The sequence below is a fragment of the Homo sapiens genome, chromosome 10 (genome assembly GCF_000001405.40).
Source record: "Homo sapiens chromosome 10, GRCh38.p14 Primary Assembly".
NCBI lineage: Eukaryota > Metazoa > Chordata > Mammalia > Primates > Hominidae > Homo > Homo sapiens.
The window spans coordinates 82274202-82290763 of record NC_000010.11 but is presented as its reverse complement, the minus strand read 5'-3'; the positions used below and the strand labels follow the sequence as shown (position 1 = coordinate 82290763).

Genomic DNA, 16562 nt, shown 5'->3' with positions numbered 1-16562 from the left:
TACTCGGGAGGCTGAGGCAGGAGATGGTGTGAACCCAGGAGGCGGAGGTTGCAGTGAGCCGAGATCGCGCCACTGCACTCTAGCCTGGGTGACAGAGAGAGACTCCATCTCAAAAAAAAAAAAAATCATTTGAAGTCATTGAGCACTGCTAATTCTAGTTTATCCACCAAGATTTACAGCTATAAAATATATACAAGTAACTGTGCAATCATTAGGGAATCCATACCAAAATTAATACACTTTTCAGCTTTATTTAGGGTTCAGAGAACCAACTGAACACAATGTGTTGTCTTCAAGAAAATCACGTTAGTTCATTGTTTCAGTGTTAATTCGCAGTATAAATAGATATCAAATATATAATGTGGACAATACTAGAAAGTCATTCATGATTACTAAAACATACAAAATGTGAAAACTTCATGTTTATAATGCAGTGAGAGCACTGAACAAATAAACTGTTATTGCTGAAATTTTAACATAAGTTTGACAGCAAAAATCATAATTAGACAAAGTAATTGTAACAGTGAGGCTTCAGGCTGACCAATAACGACTTATGAGAACAGCCAAAGCATACTACACCTAAGTACTCTTCTCTTAAGGATGCTGATTGCAACTCCAAAGCCCTTCCCAAGGATGACGGTGCAGCAGGAATGCAGGTGTCACTGCCAGCAACAGTGAGGAAGGGGGAGTTTGTAGTTAGAGAGATTAAAGCCTAGGTGATAATTGAGGCAAATCCATTTTGAGTGATCATTTATTCAACAGATGCCATACACTTACTTGAAAATGTCAAAATATAGTCAAAATTCGGAAGACATAAATAGAACCTTCTCAGAAAACAGGGCCATGGGGAATTGCCTGATGCTTGCTGTCCTAACAATGCTTAGAGGCAGACACCAAGTGGAGCAGTGGTTATTAAAGCCATTATTTCTTCTGCAATTACCAAATGAACTTGCTATTTTGCAAATGTATATGTATACATTAACTGGGGAATCATTATTTTAAGAACTCTTGTTAAAAATGTTATATTGAGGAAAAATGGCTTTCATTTGGCATTCCCACATATGTAGAAAAGATGAAAATATGTCTATAAAGGTATATATTATACAAAACTTCGTGACAAAAAAATTGAAAGGCTGGAGGAAATGAATATTATTTTCATACATAACAAATTCTCAGTAAATTAAATCTTTTATCTCATCTCAAGAAAACAAATGTGAATGCAAGAGAGCAAGAGACAAGTTATTATAAGGATAAACTTCAATCTAATCTACTATTATTTCTTTCTTTAATAAGTCTATCGCAGATATTAGAACTTGAATTCTTGTTTATATACTGAGTATTCTAACCATGGTGCAATTACTTTGCTCTTTTCCTAAATGGATCACAAGATAACTAGTAAGTCGTTGGCCCTTTCTGATGTCTCATTGCAGCTGAAGGAGGGAAGGGATTTTGCCTGAGGAGGGGGAGAAAAGGGGGACAGAGAGACAGGTACTACTCACCTCATTCCCTGATTCTTTGTCCTGTTACCTTTGTCTCTAGAGCTGATGGCGTGAAGGGTGGAATCAGAAAGCGAAGTCAAAGACAAAGGTTTAGAAACTAAAGCAAAGAGTTAGAGAAAAAGTCAATGTCCTACCCTCCCTGGGACCTTATACCACAGAAAAGCCAAGAAGTACAGGGAGCAGCATGGACTTAGAAGAGAACAGTGCTCCTGGAAAGATGCCATCAAGGCCATCAAGGATGGAAGTGGCAGCACTTCTACTAAAGATACAGGTGCTTACAAATCATTGTCCAAGGTGGGAAGAGGTGCCCAAGTCCAGCAGTCATTACAGCATGTCTATTAATGCTAAAGTGACCAAACGTGGATTTATAGGTTGACCAGTTCTGATACGTAGGAATGTGACAAATTACTCATGAGCCATCTCACAATCGTGTGTTTCACAACACAGTGTGTAGGCAGATAAGTCAGCATGCTCCGATGTGCCAGTCATCAGAAGGAATGTCAAACCCCTCAACAATAGATGGTCTGGGTGCTGCTGCAAACCATTGAGTCAGTGTCATTGCATTTGTGACAGCATCATTCCACTGGATCGTGAGTTCTAGAGGATTTCTTTTGTTCACTTTTTTATCCACCCTACTTGGAGCAGTATGTGGTATGTGGTAGGCATACCTTGCCTACTTGCCTGGCATGTGGTAGGCACTCAATAAATGTTTGTTGACTGAGTGAACACATCCCACACGGCACAGCATCCTGGCCCATGTTCAGGCTGCCTCCTCCTTGCTGCCCGGCTCCTACTGCCTGAGCCTCAGTGAAAGCACTTCCAGCCCTCTACAGCCCAGGAAAAACAATGTCTTTTCCATACACACCTCTGAGCTTTGCGCCCTTCCCATTTACTAACCGAATAATACCGAGTAAATTACTTAACCTCTCTAATCCTCAGTTTCTTCAGTAATAAAATAAGAATTATAATAGCCACTCAGGAGAGTTGTGAATATTAAATAAATTAATGTAAGTGAAAAGGGTAGCATACAACAGCCTCTCAATAAACAGTAAAATTATTTTCCCTATTCAGTAAATCTATAGATAATTTATTTGAATGGAATTGGGCTCCACAATTCAGATAGTAAGAGAAATTCACATTCATCAAAAAAAGATCTGCCTTTCAATTCTCCTGGTAATCATAAAGGAATAAATGGGACCCCATCGGGGCTCCCCTTATAATCACATATCTGTAGTACTGCATCCACAGAAATTTACTAAAATGACTTGAGTACTGGCCTTGATTTGGGGGTGAATTAAATATAGCCAGGTCAACTTTGTTGACACAGAATTTACTCCCGATAATCATGATCAACAAGGGACCACTGGATGGCATGCTGTGAGCAACCTGAGGGAGGAACCATGTCTTCTGGTTTCTTGAGAATTTGGTCCCAACCTATGTTGGACCAATGGTCACCATATAGGTCGGGACCAAAGTCTCAAGAAAACAGAATCCCAGTGGTCCCTCCAGCTGTGGCCACTCCTTCACCAGCTTCAGTTTTTAATCTGTGCCAGCCTGAACCCAGAACACAGCTTGAATTTGAGTCTACCAAAAATAATTCTCTTATAAGAAAGATCATGAACAATAAAAACTAAAGATATTTTAGAAATCTCAGAGAAGCATTATCTACCCTCTTCCAAGATGCTGCCCACCCTCACCCCACTCCCTGACCCATACTCCTACCAAAGACCTCCTCTTCTTTGACCCTCCCTGCTTGTTCATGCTCACCCTGAGTGTTAGGCCATTCTTGCATTGCTATAAAGAAATATCTGAGACTGGGTAATTTACAAAGAAAAGAGGTTTAATTGGCTCACAGTTCTGCAGGCTGTATAGGAAGCATGGTACTGGCATCAGCCCGGCTTCTGGGGAGGCCTCAGGGAGCTTTTACCCATGGCAGAAAACAAACAGGAAGCAGGCAAGTCACAGGCGAAAACAGGCACAAGAGCACTTGTGGGGCAGGGGCCACACTTTTAAACATCCAGATCCCATGAGAACTTACTCAGTATCACCGGGACAGAACCAAGCCATGAGGGACCTGCCCCATGACCCAAACACCCCTCACCAGGCCCCACCTCCAATACTGGGAATTACAATTCAACATGAGATTTGATGGGGACACATATCAAACTCTATCAGCCAGCTATTATCCTCCTTCCTCTTCTCAGTGACATTGCAGTTCCTACTGCCCAGTTCTGTTGCTATAACAGTACTTTAATTAACTCTTCTCACTTGCTCCCTAGGTGCCACACCCTGAGTCCCAGATCAGGATTTCCTTAATGCAGTTCTTTCAAAGTATTCTTCAACAAAGATTGTGTCTTCCTATAAGAAATGGTTATATCTAACTGGGCACGGTGGCTCACGCCTGTAATCCCAGCACTTTGGAAGGCCGAGGTGGGCAGATCACGAGGTCAGGAGTTCGAAACCAGCCTGGCCAATATGGTGAAACCCCATCTCTACTAAAAATACAAAAGTGAGCCGGGCATGGTGGCACATTCCTGTAGTCCCAGCTACTTGGGAGGCTGAGGCAGAAGAATCGCTTGAACCTGGGAAGCAGAGGTTGCAGTGAGCCGAGATCATGCCACTGCACTCCAGTCTGGGTGACAGAGCGAGACTCCATCTCAAAATAAGTAAATAAGTAAATAAAAATAAATAAATGCTTATATCTGAGGATAAAAGAATTAAATTGTCTGCACATTGTTACCCATGTTAGGAATATGAGATATAAAGACAAAAAATATAAATGTTCAAACTTCGAATTATCTGTGTGAATTTTCCTCTGCCCTTTGCATTCAATGATAAAAGCTGGAGTCAAAAGACTCCCACCTTAAACACTCACACCTACATATATCCACACACAAACACATATACACATACACATTATGTGTCAACATACACACACACCACCATCCCATCATGAAATGTTAAATGTAACTAATAATCTATAGTTGCTACTTTTTCACTATTTTCCTTTAAAACTTACCCCAAACTCAGGTCCCTCAGGATAAAATTCCTTTGCCAAATCATTTTGAAACCAAAAGCTTATGAGTTTTTAGCACAATTTCTTAGACTCTTACCCTTCCTACCTGCGCTCCTCACCCCCATTGGGAATATAAAGGACATAAAGGTATAAAAAACTGAACACACAGGTGGATTTAGTTCTTCTGTTTGTAGAATCAACACATAACAGACACCCTCTACTCTGCATAGCCATTCTATGTTGAAAATCAGAATGTCTATCACCAAAGAATCAACAGTTATTTGTACAATTCTTGGGAACCTCAAGGATATTCTTAATATTCTTCTAACAAGAGCAGTATGCCCCTTCCATGTAAATAAACTTGGGAATTTGAAGGAATAAAGAAGCTCTATTCTGAGGTAGGGCAGCTCTGACTTGTGGTTGGAAAGCTAAATAAAAAGAAGGTGAGTGCTTTAGCAGGAAGTCATAGGAGTTCAGAATTTGGAGGCAAACATACTAAGTGCTTTGAACAGAAAGCATGCTCTTGAGAAGAAAGCAGCCAGTGGCTTCAACTGTTTCCCTCCTTTCTTCCCTTCTTTCTTCCCTCTGGCCACCAGCCTTGGCGTGTGTTCTGAGCCAGGAACTGTACTTTCATGTGACAAGAAAGTACTGATAAACTCTGCTCTGGACATTCCTATTAAATAATACCTATCCCTTCCATCTCGGGATAATGCTGTCTAATGGATTATAACATTCATCAGTTTATTAATTAGACTATTATATCCTGGGGGAATTGGTTATTTTTTAAAAAGAAGACTTAAAACATTATTTTGAAAAACTAGCTGCACTTTCCTATCATAAGTTTGGTTAATGGCTGGTGCAATAAACAGACCATATGAACAAGAAGTGGGATTGATCCAGGAATGAAAATGCCCCGATTCCTCTTTATCTGCTGAAGTCAGAAGAGCCATGTTGTCTTTTAAGAACTTGGTAAACCGAGTCTCCACCCCCTGACCCAGGTGCTCTTTTAGTAACTGTGTGAATATAAGCTTCTGTCTTCCTCCAAAATTAGCATCTACAGCATGAATGAAAGCCTGAAACATCTCAGAAGGCAGTTATGTTTTTTTGCTCGGGGCTAAACATTTGCTATTCAAGGCCTAGTGGAAGGAGACAACTGCCCTAACTCCTTTTCTGAACAGAAAGATGGCATCAGCCAAACAAATAAAAGTTAGAAACAGGAGTTTAACCACAATCTGTTTTCCAAGATAAATATGGCCTCATGGGATAATTCAGATACAGCTAAAATATTAATTTAAAGCCAAATGGATTTTAAACGTAATGTTTTTCTGTCTACTAGCAAGCGCCAATTAGGAAAGAAAAATGCATACAGTATTGGAATGGGAAACAATAACTTCCTAGGATGTAAATGGAAAGAAAAAGATCCAGTACTGAGTGAGGTTCACATGAAACACATGTGATGCGCTTACAAAACATCCTAAGGTGAAGTGATGAGAATAATTTTAAAAAGAAAAAAAGACACTCAAGAAACCTGTTTTTCAATGCCATTTGTATTAGGTGTGCTAAAATTAAATTGGCATATTGAAAAGAGATTTTTTTAAATGAGAGAAGAGAAATACAAACAAAAATACAGAAAGTTATTAAAGAAATCATTAAAGAAACAGAAATTGTTTTGGTGGAAAAGTTGACCTTTCCAAATGAATAAATTAAATGGAAAATGGATTTATCTGAATGCCTAGTATGATAAACACTGTTTCTTGTTAATAAACTCCTCACCCTGCAGGAAAAATAGACAGATAGTCCAGTTTAACCCATGGGGATGACATCAGTGCTTTCCATTCCTGTTCTTGTATCTGTGTGTAACAAGCATCTCTATAGCTTTTGATATAGACCCATAACTGCTATGAATTTAAATCTATGACAGCCCATGTTTCTGGTTGATTAAACTAAGATGTTTATGGCGTCTGCGGTATGAAATCAAAGTGGGAACAATTAAACTCTCCATCTCTGTAGCAAAGGGCTTGCTGGCATTAGCATCTGACCATTCATCACTTGCCATGTACCTTTTCACTGTCATCTCTGCAGCTCCCTGATACGCAGATATTGGCTCCTGTTCTGAAGTGGGTACATTTGTCACTAACATCAGGTGGCATACAATGGGTGCCAGTTAATTCAAAGTTCTGAGCTTGCAGTCTGTATTGGAACAACTCATTATAAAAGTATATCCTGGAAATCGCAATGCTCGCAATGCTCTCTCTAACTTTCTCTCTTTTCATTTTCCTCCTTAGCAAACTACGAGCAAACCAGAAGATGCTGAAATGTCAAATCATTATCAAAGCTTCATTTATGCACTCATTCAAGAAACCTTTCCTGAAATGTGGCATGTTCTGGGTTGTCAAAAATTCAAAGATAAAACAACAATAGGCTCAGGCCTGAGAGATCTTTCAATTTTGTGAATTGGGACTCGAGATGCAGAAATGATGCCCTGTGATAAATGGTAGAACACGGAGACACAACAGGCTACTTCCATGACCCAGTATGAGGCTGGACACCAGGCTCCTTCCAGATACACAGCATGAGAAAATCATAAGCATCAGTATATTTAGTATAATTATCATGGGTTGTATGGTGCCTTCATTATTGAAAACCTGTTGATAAGTGTGTGCATGTTTTCTTATAGAATGTTGGATACTATAGGAACCGAGCTAGAGATTTCCTACCCTACACCTTTGCTCCTAACTGGCTATATATAGGTTGAACTATATTTGACAAAATAATAAATCAAGGTTGCATAGGAAAACTTACATTGCTGGGTTTTAATAGCTATTTTCCAGTGAAAACTTGACTCTGTGTACTGCCAGAGCATCATATGTGAATATGATCACTAGTTTTCTTTAAAAATGTAGCCTGAATTCAAGCTGCTCAATTATAGTTAGGCAAACAAATATGAGAAGCCACGGATGTACTCCTACATGGCATTGTGAAACAAATTCACCAGAGGCCAACACACAACCAACTTCTGAAGTGATTTGATTCCACTTCAGAACTAAGCACACAAAGGATCCAATCTTCACCCCTGGGATCTCACTTTCTTCCTCTTTGTTTCCTTAGGAGTGTTTCCCAAGTCTTGGTGGGGAGACTTGCACTAGATTAAGACCGAGAAGACAGGAGAACTCGTGTTGTAGAGTCTGTGTTAAGTGCCATGAGCTCTGCCAGATGATCAGCCTCACAGAGCAGATCGCATTAGTGAACGTTTGGAAACCAAAGAGATTGGGATGAGTCATCAGCCCAAGGCAACACTGTTAGTAAACACCGGGGCCAGGATCGGACCCCAGTGACCAAGCTCTCTCTCCTCTGCAGGTGTTTCTTGCAGAAGTCACCTGGGAGGTGTTTTAAAATCTCAGATCCCTCATCCTACCCTTCGAATTAAAAATTTTGTGGAGGTGCTAGTGGAAAAGCATCCCACAGGCATGGACACAGCTGCCTCACTGACTGCGACTCAGGGGACCACCATGTCCCATCTTGCTCCCTCGTTCCTAACAGTGAGGATGCATACATACCTTTGTCGCTAATTTGCATTAACTCATTTAATCATCACAACAACCTTGTGAAACACATACTTATATTTTCTCCACTTTTTACATGAGGAAACCGAGGCTAGAAGCATAAATCAACTTGGCTGGTCACATGGCTGGTTAGTAGCTGGACTGGAATTCAAGCACAGGCATTCTGGTCCTGAGCCCTCCTTTTAACTGCTGTGTTACACAACTTTCAGTCCTGCTGCCCTGAGTCCTACGCAGAGCCCTGGCTTCCAGGTGACCTACTACTGATGGGTCTACACTAGCATAAAGGAAGTGACTTTTCAAGACACAGATCCACAACTCTCACTGGCTCCCAATCACATCAGTGCAGGTGAATTGGTGGCCCAGAGGTCAGCTAAACCCTCCAGATTACAAAATAATAAATAAATAAATAAATAAATAAATAAATAAATAAATAAATGTAATGTTTTCAAAATTAAAATGTTTCTTTAAAACAATCTAGTTATCTGCCTCGTATGTGTCCACTTCTAGAAAAAATGGCTAGAACAACCTCCTCTAGATCAGTTTCATTAGACTGGGCAAGCAGCCTTCAGCTGGACACAGCCCCCACTATCCTGCTCCTGATTTACATTTCTGCTTGACTTCTGTAGATATATGAGTTTGAGACCCACAGCCATATAAGCACAGGCTTGGAATACATAGTATTAGGATTAGGTGAAATAAAACAAAGGATGTCCACCTTGCTTGTTACCAAAAGGCTACATATAAAATACAGAAGAAATCCAACAAATAGCCATGTCTACTGTCAATCCTTTCTCTATGAATATATTCAATGAATAATGTAAAAATGAATTAAAAACTGATACAGACAAAAACAAACAAACAAACAAAACCTGACATGGGGCAAGGGAAATACAAAGTCCAGAGAATATGAGATGATAGCTGCCAGGGCACACTCTCTCCATCTTCCTCTGCCCTCCCTTGATTCTCATATCTGGCCATATCAGGGAAAGCACCTCTGGCTCCATCTAGACTTTCTTGGTGTAAAATGGAATTTAGATTCACTGTCAGGACTCAATTACAGGAGCCACTGGAGTGTCCCTGTCCTCCTCATGCAAGCTGCATGTTGAATTACGTTGAGTCTTATTAAAAGAGTCCCTGGAGTCAGTTCCACCCCATCCCCACATTCCTCTCCATCCTCACCAACCACCAACCACAGCAGCTTAACTGTGCAACAGATTTCTTCTTCTGTTGTTTCCTCCGGGCCAATACATCTTATCTAGTACCCCAGGTCTTTGCTGAAGAGTAATACCTCCTCTCCTAATCACAAGAGGATATCCTGTTGTTCTAGTAAGTTCCTATCCATCTCTTTACTAGGGATAAATTCTGTTTCCTTCTGTATGCCATTCAGCAATCATGCTATCTTTCTTACCATCACCATCTGGACCCATGACTGGACATCAGAAGACCATACCTCATCCCAGACGGAAATTAGCTCAGGAACCTACACTACGGCAATGCAAGTATTTAAAAGAAAATAAGCCATATGATCTATTCAAAACTTGGTAAAAATTGCAGCATGTCACTCCAAGTCTTCCAGTCCAGAAAAGTACCAATGTAATCCCAGGGTTATTTCCATAGTTCAGTATCTCAGAAAATTTCTGTACAAGGGCCATTTTGCACAAAAGATAGAACAAAAAATAAGATCTATTTAATCAGGCTACAATTATGAGATAACACCAGTAATTTTTAATATTTCTGGGACCAAACATCCCACATCCCCCCGCAGAAAGCAGGCATGGGTCTGCTCTGGGTGGCCATGCTGGCACAGGACAGGATGGATTGCCATTGGAGAGTTACTAAAGCTTCAACTTCCCTTTAGTTAATTGCCCATGCTTCATGCAAAGGTGCAATTAGAGTCCCCCTTGCTAATACAGAGATAAGTAATTGCCTTATTGAGAGCCCTACTGGGAGCAGAGGATATGCAGGATGAGTGAGTAGAGAAGTTACGTTATTTTGTGTAGTCTAAATGGAGATGACAGACCTTGCGGAGAAAAGGTCAAGGAGAGTGTCCAAAGTGATACCTCCAAATGCCTACAATGACCATCAAAAACATAGGGGCTATGGTCAGGTGACTAAAACTTTCTGGAGAGTGTGTTTGGTCATCTTCAGTCATGTTCTAAAGTATTTAAGCTTTGCACGAGCTATAAAAGGAGTCATCTTTTGATATTTGACAGTGATTACTGTAGGGTATAATGAATAAGCATTTAGGACAAAGTCTTCCAAAAGGGGATTTTCCAAGGTCAAGACATTTATCATTTTTCCAAGGTCCATCACATTTGTCAAAAGGCTCTGCCAGTTGGCAGCACACCAAAAAAAAAATTGTCACTTGATATGCTGAGCCTAAGGGAACCCACCTGTTTTAAGTGATCTATATCTTGTGCCCTATTTAATATCACTCTATAATGTTAGTGTTATACATGGCTCCACCTTCATTAAATATACATTCAGAAAATAAAGATTTTTTTCAGCTTTTCTCTTTGATTGGATAGGGGGAAGAGAGGTTCTTAGATGTCTGACCCCTACTATCCCACTTCCCTTACTTTCATACACCCTGTTTTAATTAGGTAACTGCCTCAACTGTTAATCAGAACTGATCCCCCTGCCCACTGGAAACTCCTGATAGAACAGCCACTAAATCAGCCTGGAGACTTCTCTCCTTCAAATTAAGTTATTCCAATCCCATTGGTCTCTCATTTATTTTAAAAAGTAGATTCAATAGCTAAGTATTTGTTCACTATATTTTAAGAACTCTTCCAGAGAAAGGCCATTACTTATTGCAGTAAGCTGAGGATAGAAGCGATTTTACTGACTTTCAGAATAACTAATTTCGATTGATCCTTAAAGTTAAGCTGTAAAACATGTTGCCAAGGTTAATTATAATTCATCAATCACATCAACACATGGCATTCACTGATGGAGACAGCCTCACATATTTGTTTGAGGTATGCAAACAACTTCATGAGAAATCAGTTTTAATAATCTTTCACTCCGTGTTCGTTGTCAGAAAAATGTGATTTAAGGAAAATCATTTACACATCCCTAAGTGCATTAATGCAAAACAACTTTACTTTTTAAATTCTTTATAAAGAAAATCAACTCAGCCAACAGAAATCAGTTGACAAGTATAAAAGGTTTTCAGTCAGTTTAATCTTCATGAAGTGTTTATTGATGTTATGTGAAGCCAAAACATTATTTAGATAAATGCCTTTATTGTCTATGTGGATTTTGGAAAAACAATCTGATGGGCTTTTTATGGTTTCTTTTTAGGTAAACTTTAAAAAAGGATTGCAAACAAGTCAGCAGTAGTGCCAGTTTGATGGTTCTTTTCAGCAGGTGCTGACATTGATGAAAAACCTGGAGAGCTGGAATCAAAATGACACTCATCTTCCAAGGCCAGGGGATACTTCCCTCAGCACAGTTTGAGTCAAATGGCCAGCATGGGCGCTGCTGCCTAGAAGGCTTTATTTGGTAATGACATCTCCAAAAATAAATCCATTTCTTCCTGTGAAATGACTATTTATGAGACCTTCTCTACTGGGCATTGAGTTAGGTTCTGTCAGATCAGCAATAAGCAAAGTAGCTATGACTCCTGTATCCACACAACTCACAGTCCCATGAGGAAGCAAACGTTGAAGAAATGACTGTAATAACATGTGCTGTGCAATATCGTAAAAGAAGCACATAGGACAATACTGTGTGAGGAAACCGAAGCAGACACCTAACTCACCTGGGCGATAAGCCTGGAAGCAACTTCCAGTTCAGACCTAAAGCAAATACAGAAGTTGTCAAGGCGAAGAGGAAATAAGAGAGCTCCGTGAGGAGGTGGCCACGACTTCTAATACTTTTTAGCTATGAGACCCTCAGTCAAATTTCCAGGCCATGTATAGAATACAGAGCCATGAAAACAGTCAAGGATATAGGACTGTCAAAAGAGAAAAGGACCAGAACAAAGAACAAAACACCATTCTCTTCCAGTCACTGAGAAACCTGTTTATTATTTCAGACAGCTCTAGTTTCAGTTCTCAAATCATTGTTAAACAAACCAGCAAAAACCTGCCCACTCACTCAGCTTTTTTCAATTCTGTTTGCACGAACCTCGACGAGGAAAGCCAATTGCTCTTATTGACAGAAATCATCCTGCCAGAGAACATTTTCAACAGAAGAGAGGAAACAGGGAAGACAGTCTGAGAGAGTAATCAGGAATCAGCTACCAGGTATCACTAATAACCCCAAAATAACCTTCCCCTATAGCTATAGGAGCCCTAACATTCCATTCAGCACCACTCACTAAAGAAGCAAAGAATTCCTCAGCAAGATGTGTAGGTCTTCAAGAAGTCAGAAGCACATCTGCACGCACCTTCTCCTGGTCTTAGCTTGTGTGATTTTATAGTGTCATGCAGTCAAATGAAAGAAACCAAGAACGCTTTAAAAAAAAATATGTAGTCCATCACTTGTAACTGTTCATTTTCTTGGAGGTTTAGCTAATTTTAGTGTAAATCGTGATTTCAAAAGATGGGCAAGTTTTGGTCCATCCCCAAAACGTTCATCAATTTTTGTCCTATTCATCTCTGCTTACATATGTGTGGTAAGGGAATTCCACCTCCTCCTTCTTTGGCCTCAAAGATGTGTAGTGTGTGGTGATATTTGAAGTTACTGAAGATGAGAAGTATTATGGCAAGAAATCACATTTCATAACATCAAGTCTATCATCTTATTGACTCCTCCAAAGCTCTCCAAAGGCTGAGGAGGGTAGACCAATCCATTTTTCTCACTGCTTCCCTCAGAGGGATACTATGCCACTTCCTGGAATTCTGGTGAAGAAAAAAATGTGGATCTTGTTACTCACTGTGGCTGGAATCCAGCTAAAGCATAAACATTGCACATTTAAACATTATTTGAGCAACTTTAGACAGAATACTGAGAGCTTCCTGCAAGGTCATAACAATATTAAGGCCATGAGGTAAGCAGACCAGCACGGAGCAATAGGATACAATATTCTCCAACAAGGGCTAGTGACCTAGATGGAGGATGATAGGAAAGGAATGAGGCATGAATAGAGCCATGAAAAGGAGGTTACATTAGCCACTACTAAATCTGGAATTTTACCATATTCCCTTATTGAGAAAGATATGATTATTATTATCTATCCCCCAAGTAGAGATTCTTAATGATCATTTGCAAATGACATAATACATATGTCAATGCCTGAATTATCTATAAGTAAAATAAGCATGGTTTTAAACAACCTTATAGTCTTTATTGTTTTCCAACTTAGAAGTCCTACTCTGGAAGAGAATTATCTGAACTGGGTGGCCTTATCCTACACTTACAATCATATCAGCAAGCTCTGTTCCAGTGAAAACCATCAACAGAAATATTTGCTAAACTAATGATTATTTAAGATTAAAGATTTTTCCATTTATTTTATGATCCAAAACGTACTTAGAGGCCTTTCTGGGTTAAAGGCTTCAAAAGACATAAAAATAATAAATATTATTGCAATGAAAATGTCTAGTAATGACCAATTTGAAAGAAGCAGCCTGACATGAAAGAAAGTAAAAAACAAATATCTGCTATGGAGCATCTGAAGTTTAAACCATCTCAGTTGTATGGTAACATCGTCTTCAATAATGAGGGAGAAAAATATTTTATTAAAAACCACATTTTTTTGTAATTCTAAAAGTTTATAAGACACTTCAGGAAATTAAAACAGTTTAAAATTTAACCTAATGCTAAGGAAGGAAATGTACTATCTTTTTTAACTGCTACATTTTAAGGTTTGATAAGTTTTCTGTGCTATACACACACGAAGTTCAATTAAAAAGTATTTTGAGTGTGTATTACATGGTAAGCATTGCAAATATAAAGATCAGTATGTCATTTTTTGTCCTGAATGGTCCCACATAAGACCACATAAGAAGAATTACACATTTGTCCACCAAACCAACTCATAAAATTATGTTCTACAAGTTATATATTGTTATCTATGCAGTTAGAATAAAACTATGGTGCTTATTTCTATTTAAAGATGAGCTCCTTTGACCTCTTTACTGCAAAAATTTAAAACATTGGTTGCATTATTTTATTTAATTCTGTGTTTCATTTCTTTGTGACAATGCAAAGAAGAATCAGGTTAACCTGGTCTGTTGAGTTCCTTTACATCTTCCTGGAGAAAGGGATTTATAAACATGTCAGCCAATTATACAATAACTTATGAAAACACAAAAATTCCTTTTCCTTCAGTTTTTACAAATCACTTTTCATGAACTATATTTCTAATTGAGAATAAGAAGTACATTTTAGAGCCAGTTTATTCAAATTTTGTAGAATGAGATTTCATTTAAACTAAATGCAAAATATATGAATATTTTAAAAGAGTGTGGCCATTCTTGAACAGGTATTTGTAGTGTATTTACTGTTTACATTACTACTTTGTGTTAATAGATTTATATAGGAATTCAGGACAATTACTCGTGTGTATCCATTATGTTCAAATAATATTTAGCCATGATATGTACTTTGGAAAATGAATTATTGATGAATAAAACGAACTTATTGTTGTCATTAAATGAATAGGTCGTAATCTTATTTAAAATTGTGTCCTATGCACAGTATGTATGAGTATGTTCAACTTTTGAAGGACTATTTTATCTCCTTCCTTCAGTTACTGACATTTGCAGAATATTTGCATATTAAAGCATTAATAATATCACATATTAAGTGATCATTTTCTTTGACAGGACATACATGATTCATAATATCATTGGAAGAATGTGTTATGTTTAGGTTTTCCTCCTAAACTTAAAGTAAAAGCACAGTTACATTCTGCACATTTTATATTCTAACTCTTAGAATTATTTTTTCTTCATATATAACAAACTTACTCCAATTATATCTTTAAGATTTTTGAAAGTTAATTCTTTAAAGTGGGCATACATCAAGAGCTTTGTAAATAAATATACTGACAAGAGTCAGTATTTCTACTGGCTCCAAACAATAGGGAAATCATTTGGAATTGGGAATTCCAAACAATTCCCTCTCCAACATCTGAAAACACACAGCTCCCAGGCTTTGGAAACCATAATTGCCATCATCACTCTGTGCTGAAAATCACATTAATCCAGCCCTGAGGATCCTTCACTGGCCTTTTGCTTTGAAATAAGTTAGACTCTTATTAACAAATAGAGTCTAATTTTTTAGGTCATGTAAGTGCCTTGACCCTTCTAGAAAATTCATATTCCAATATCAAAGAACTAAAATAAAGATCATATTGTTACTGTCCACCTACTGTAATTTCAGCCTAAGGAGATACTGTCCAAGGTAAACGTTTACAAAATTTCCTAACTCTATGCTCTTGGCAACTCAGGAAAGATTCTGGTAAGCAATAAATAAGTTGCTTCTAATTCAAGATGGTAGACTGAGCATCTGCATTACCTACACTAAACAACATTGATAATCTAAAGAATAGATGTACAAGTATACTTTTTAAATCATAGAAAAGTTTATATTCATTGTTAGGTTATTGGATTCAAAGCTGTATTGGAGCTTTAAAACCTTCCTTTCATTTTTTGAATTATTTTATTTTTCACCATATAGGAAACTACATATGACACTCTAGATGGAGGCAGAGAAAATATTCCACAAAAGGAAAAGGCTAGCAGTCCAAGAAAACTGAGTTCAGAGAGAGGAAGCAGAGTCTAGTCTAAGTGGAAGGCATGAAGTTTGGAATTGGGCAGCTCCCACCCTTTCTAGTTGGGTGCTTTGGGCAAGAGGTTTATTCTGTCTTGTCTGATCAAGTGAGGTAATGAATGGAAACTGCAGCATAGTTTTAATGGGACGATGAAATAACCCTATGAAATACCACTATAGTATGCAAAAACATAGGGACAACAAAATGAATCCACTTGAGAAATAATTTAAAATTTTAGTTTTTAATATTTTTACTAATTACCAGTTTGGACTTGGTTACAGTTCCCTAACAGCACCAAGGGCTTTAAAATAAAGTGTTCAATTAATTAGAAAGTGTTTCTAAATAAATGGTATGAATGAAATGTTTCTTAAATTTTGACTTGGTCTCTTTTTGTAACTTACACTTCTCATCATATTCATATTATTGTTCATAAAATAACCAAACACAATAGATTATAGCAATTTTCATTCATTTTTATTCAGAAATAAACTACTTACTGTGAAAATTTTAAGAAGAAAGCAGCAATAAAGGCTAATAATCATTCTAGATCTGACAACTAATTCTTCTTTTAATATGAGAATTCAGAATTAGAAGAAGGTTGCAGGTTTTTAGTTCACTCAATCTTCCAGCCAGTCTTGAATTTTCAGTGAAGTTTCTATGAGCATGGGAAGAAAACTTTGTAGACACTCTGCCACCATATTTTGCTATGCTAAAATTTTTTCACATTCATTTGCAGAAAATTTGTCAGTGTTCTC

General features: G+C 38.1%; 1 protein-coding gene across 25 annotated transcripts in view, besides 1 other annotated feature; it reads right to left on the bottom strand.

Moving 5' to 3' along the window:
- Positions 1 to 16562, bottom strand: part of NRG3 (neuregulin 3) — a 1111986-nt gene that overhangs the window by 696416 nt on the left and 399008 nt on the right. The gene's annotated exons all lie outside the window — the stretch shown is intronic.
- Positions 1354 to 2553: an enhancer, noted in NCBI's record as "CDK7 strongly-dependent group 2 enhancer chr10:84047967-84049166 (GRCh37/hg19 assembly coordinates)". NCBI's record gives its function as "activates an origin of replication core promoter dependent on BRD2, BRD4, P300/CBP, MED14 and CDK7 cofactors, with strong dependence on CDK7, by STARR-seq in HCT116 cells {active_cell/tissue: HCT116}" and the evidence as "EXISTENCE:reporter gene assay evidence [ECO:0000049][PMID:35650434]".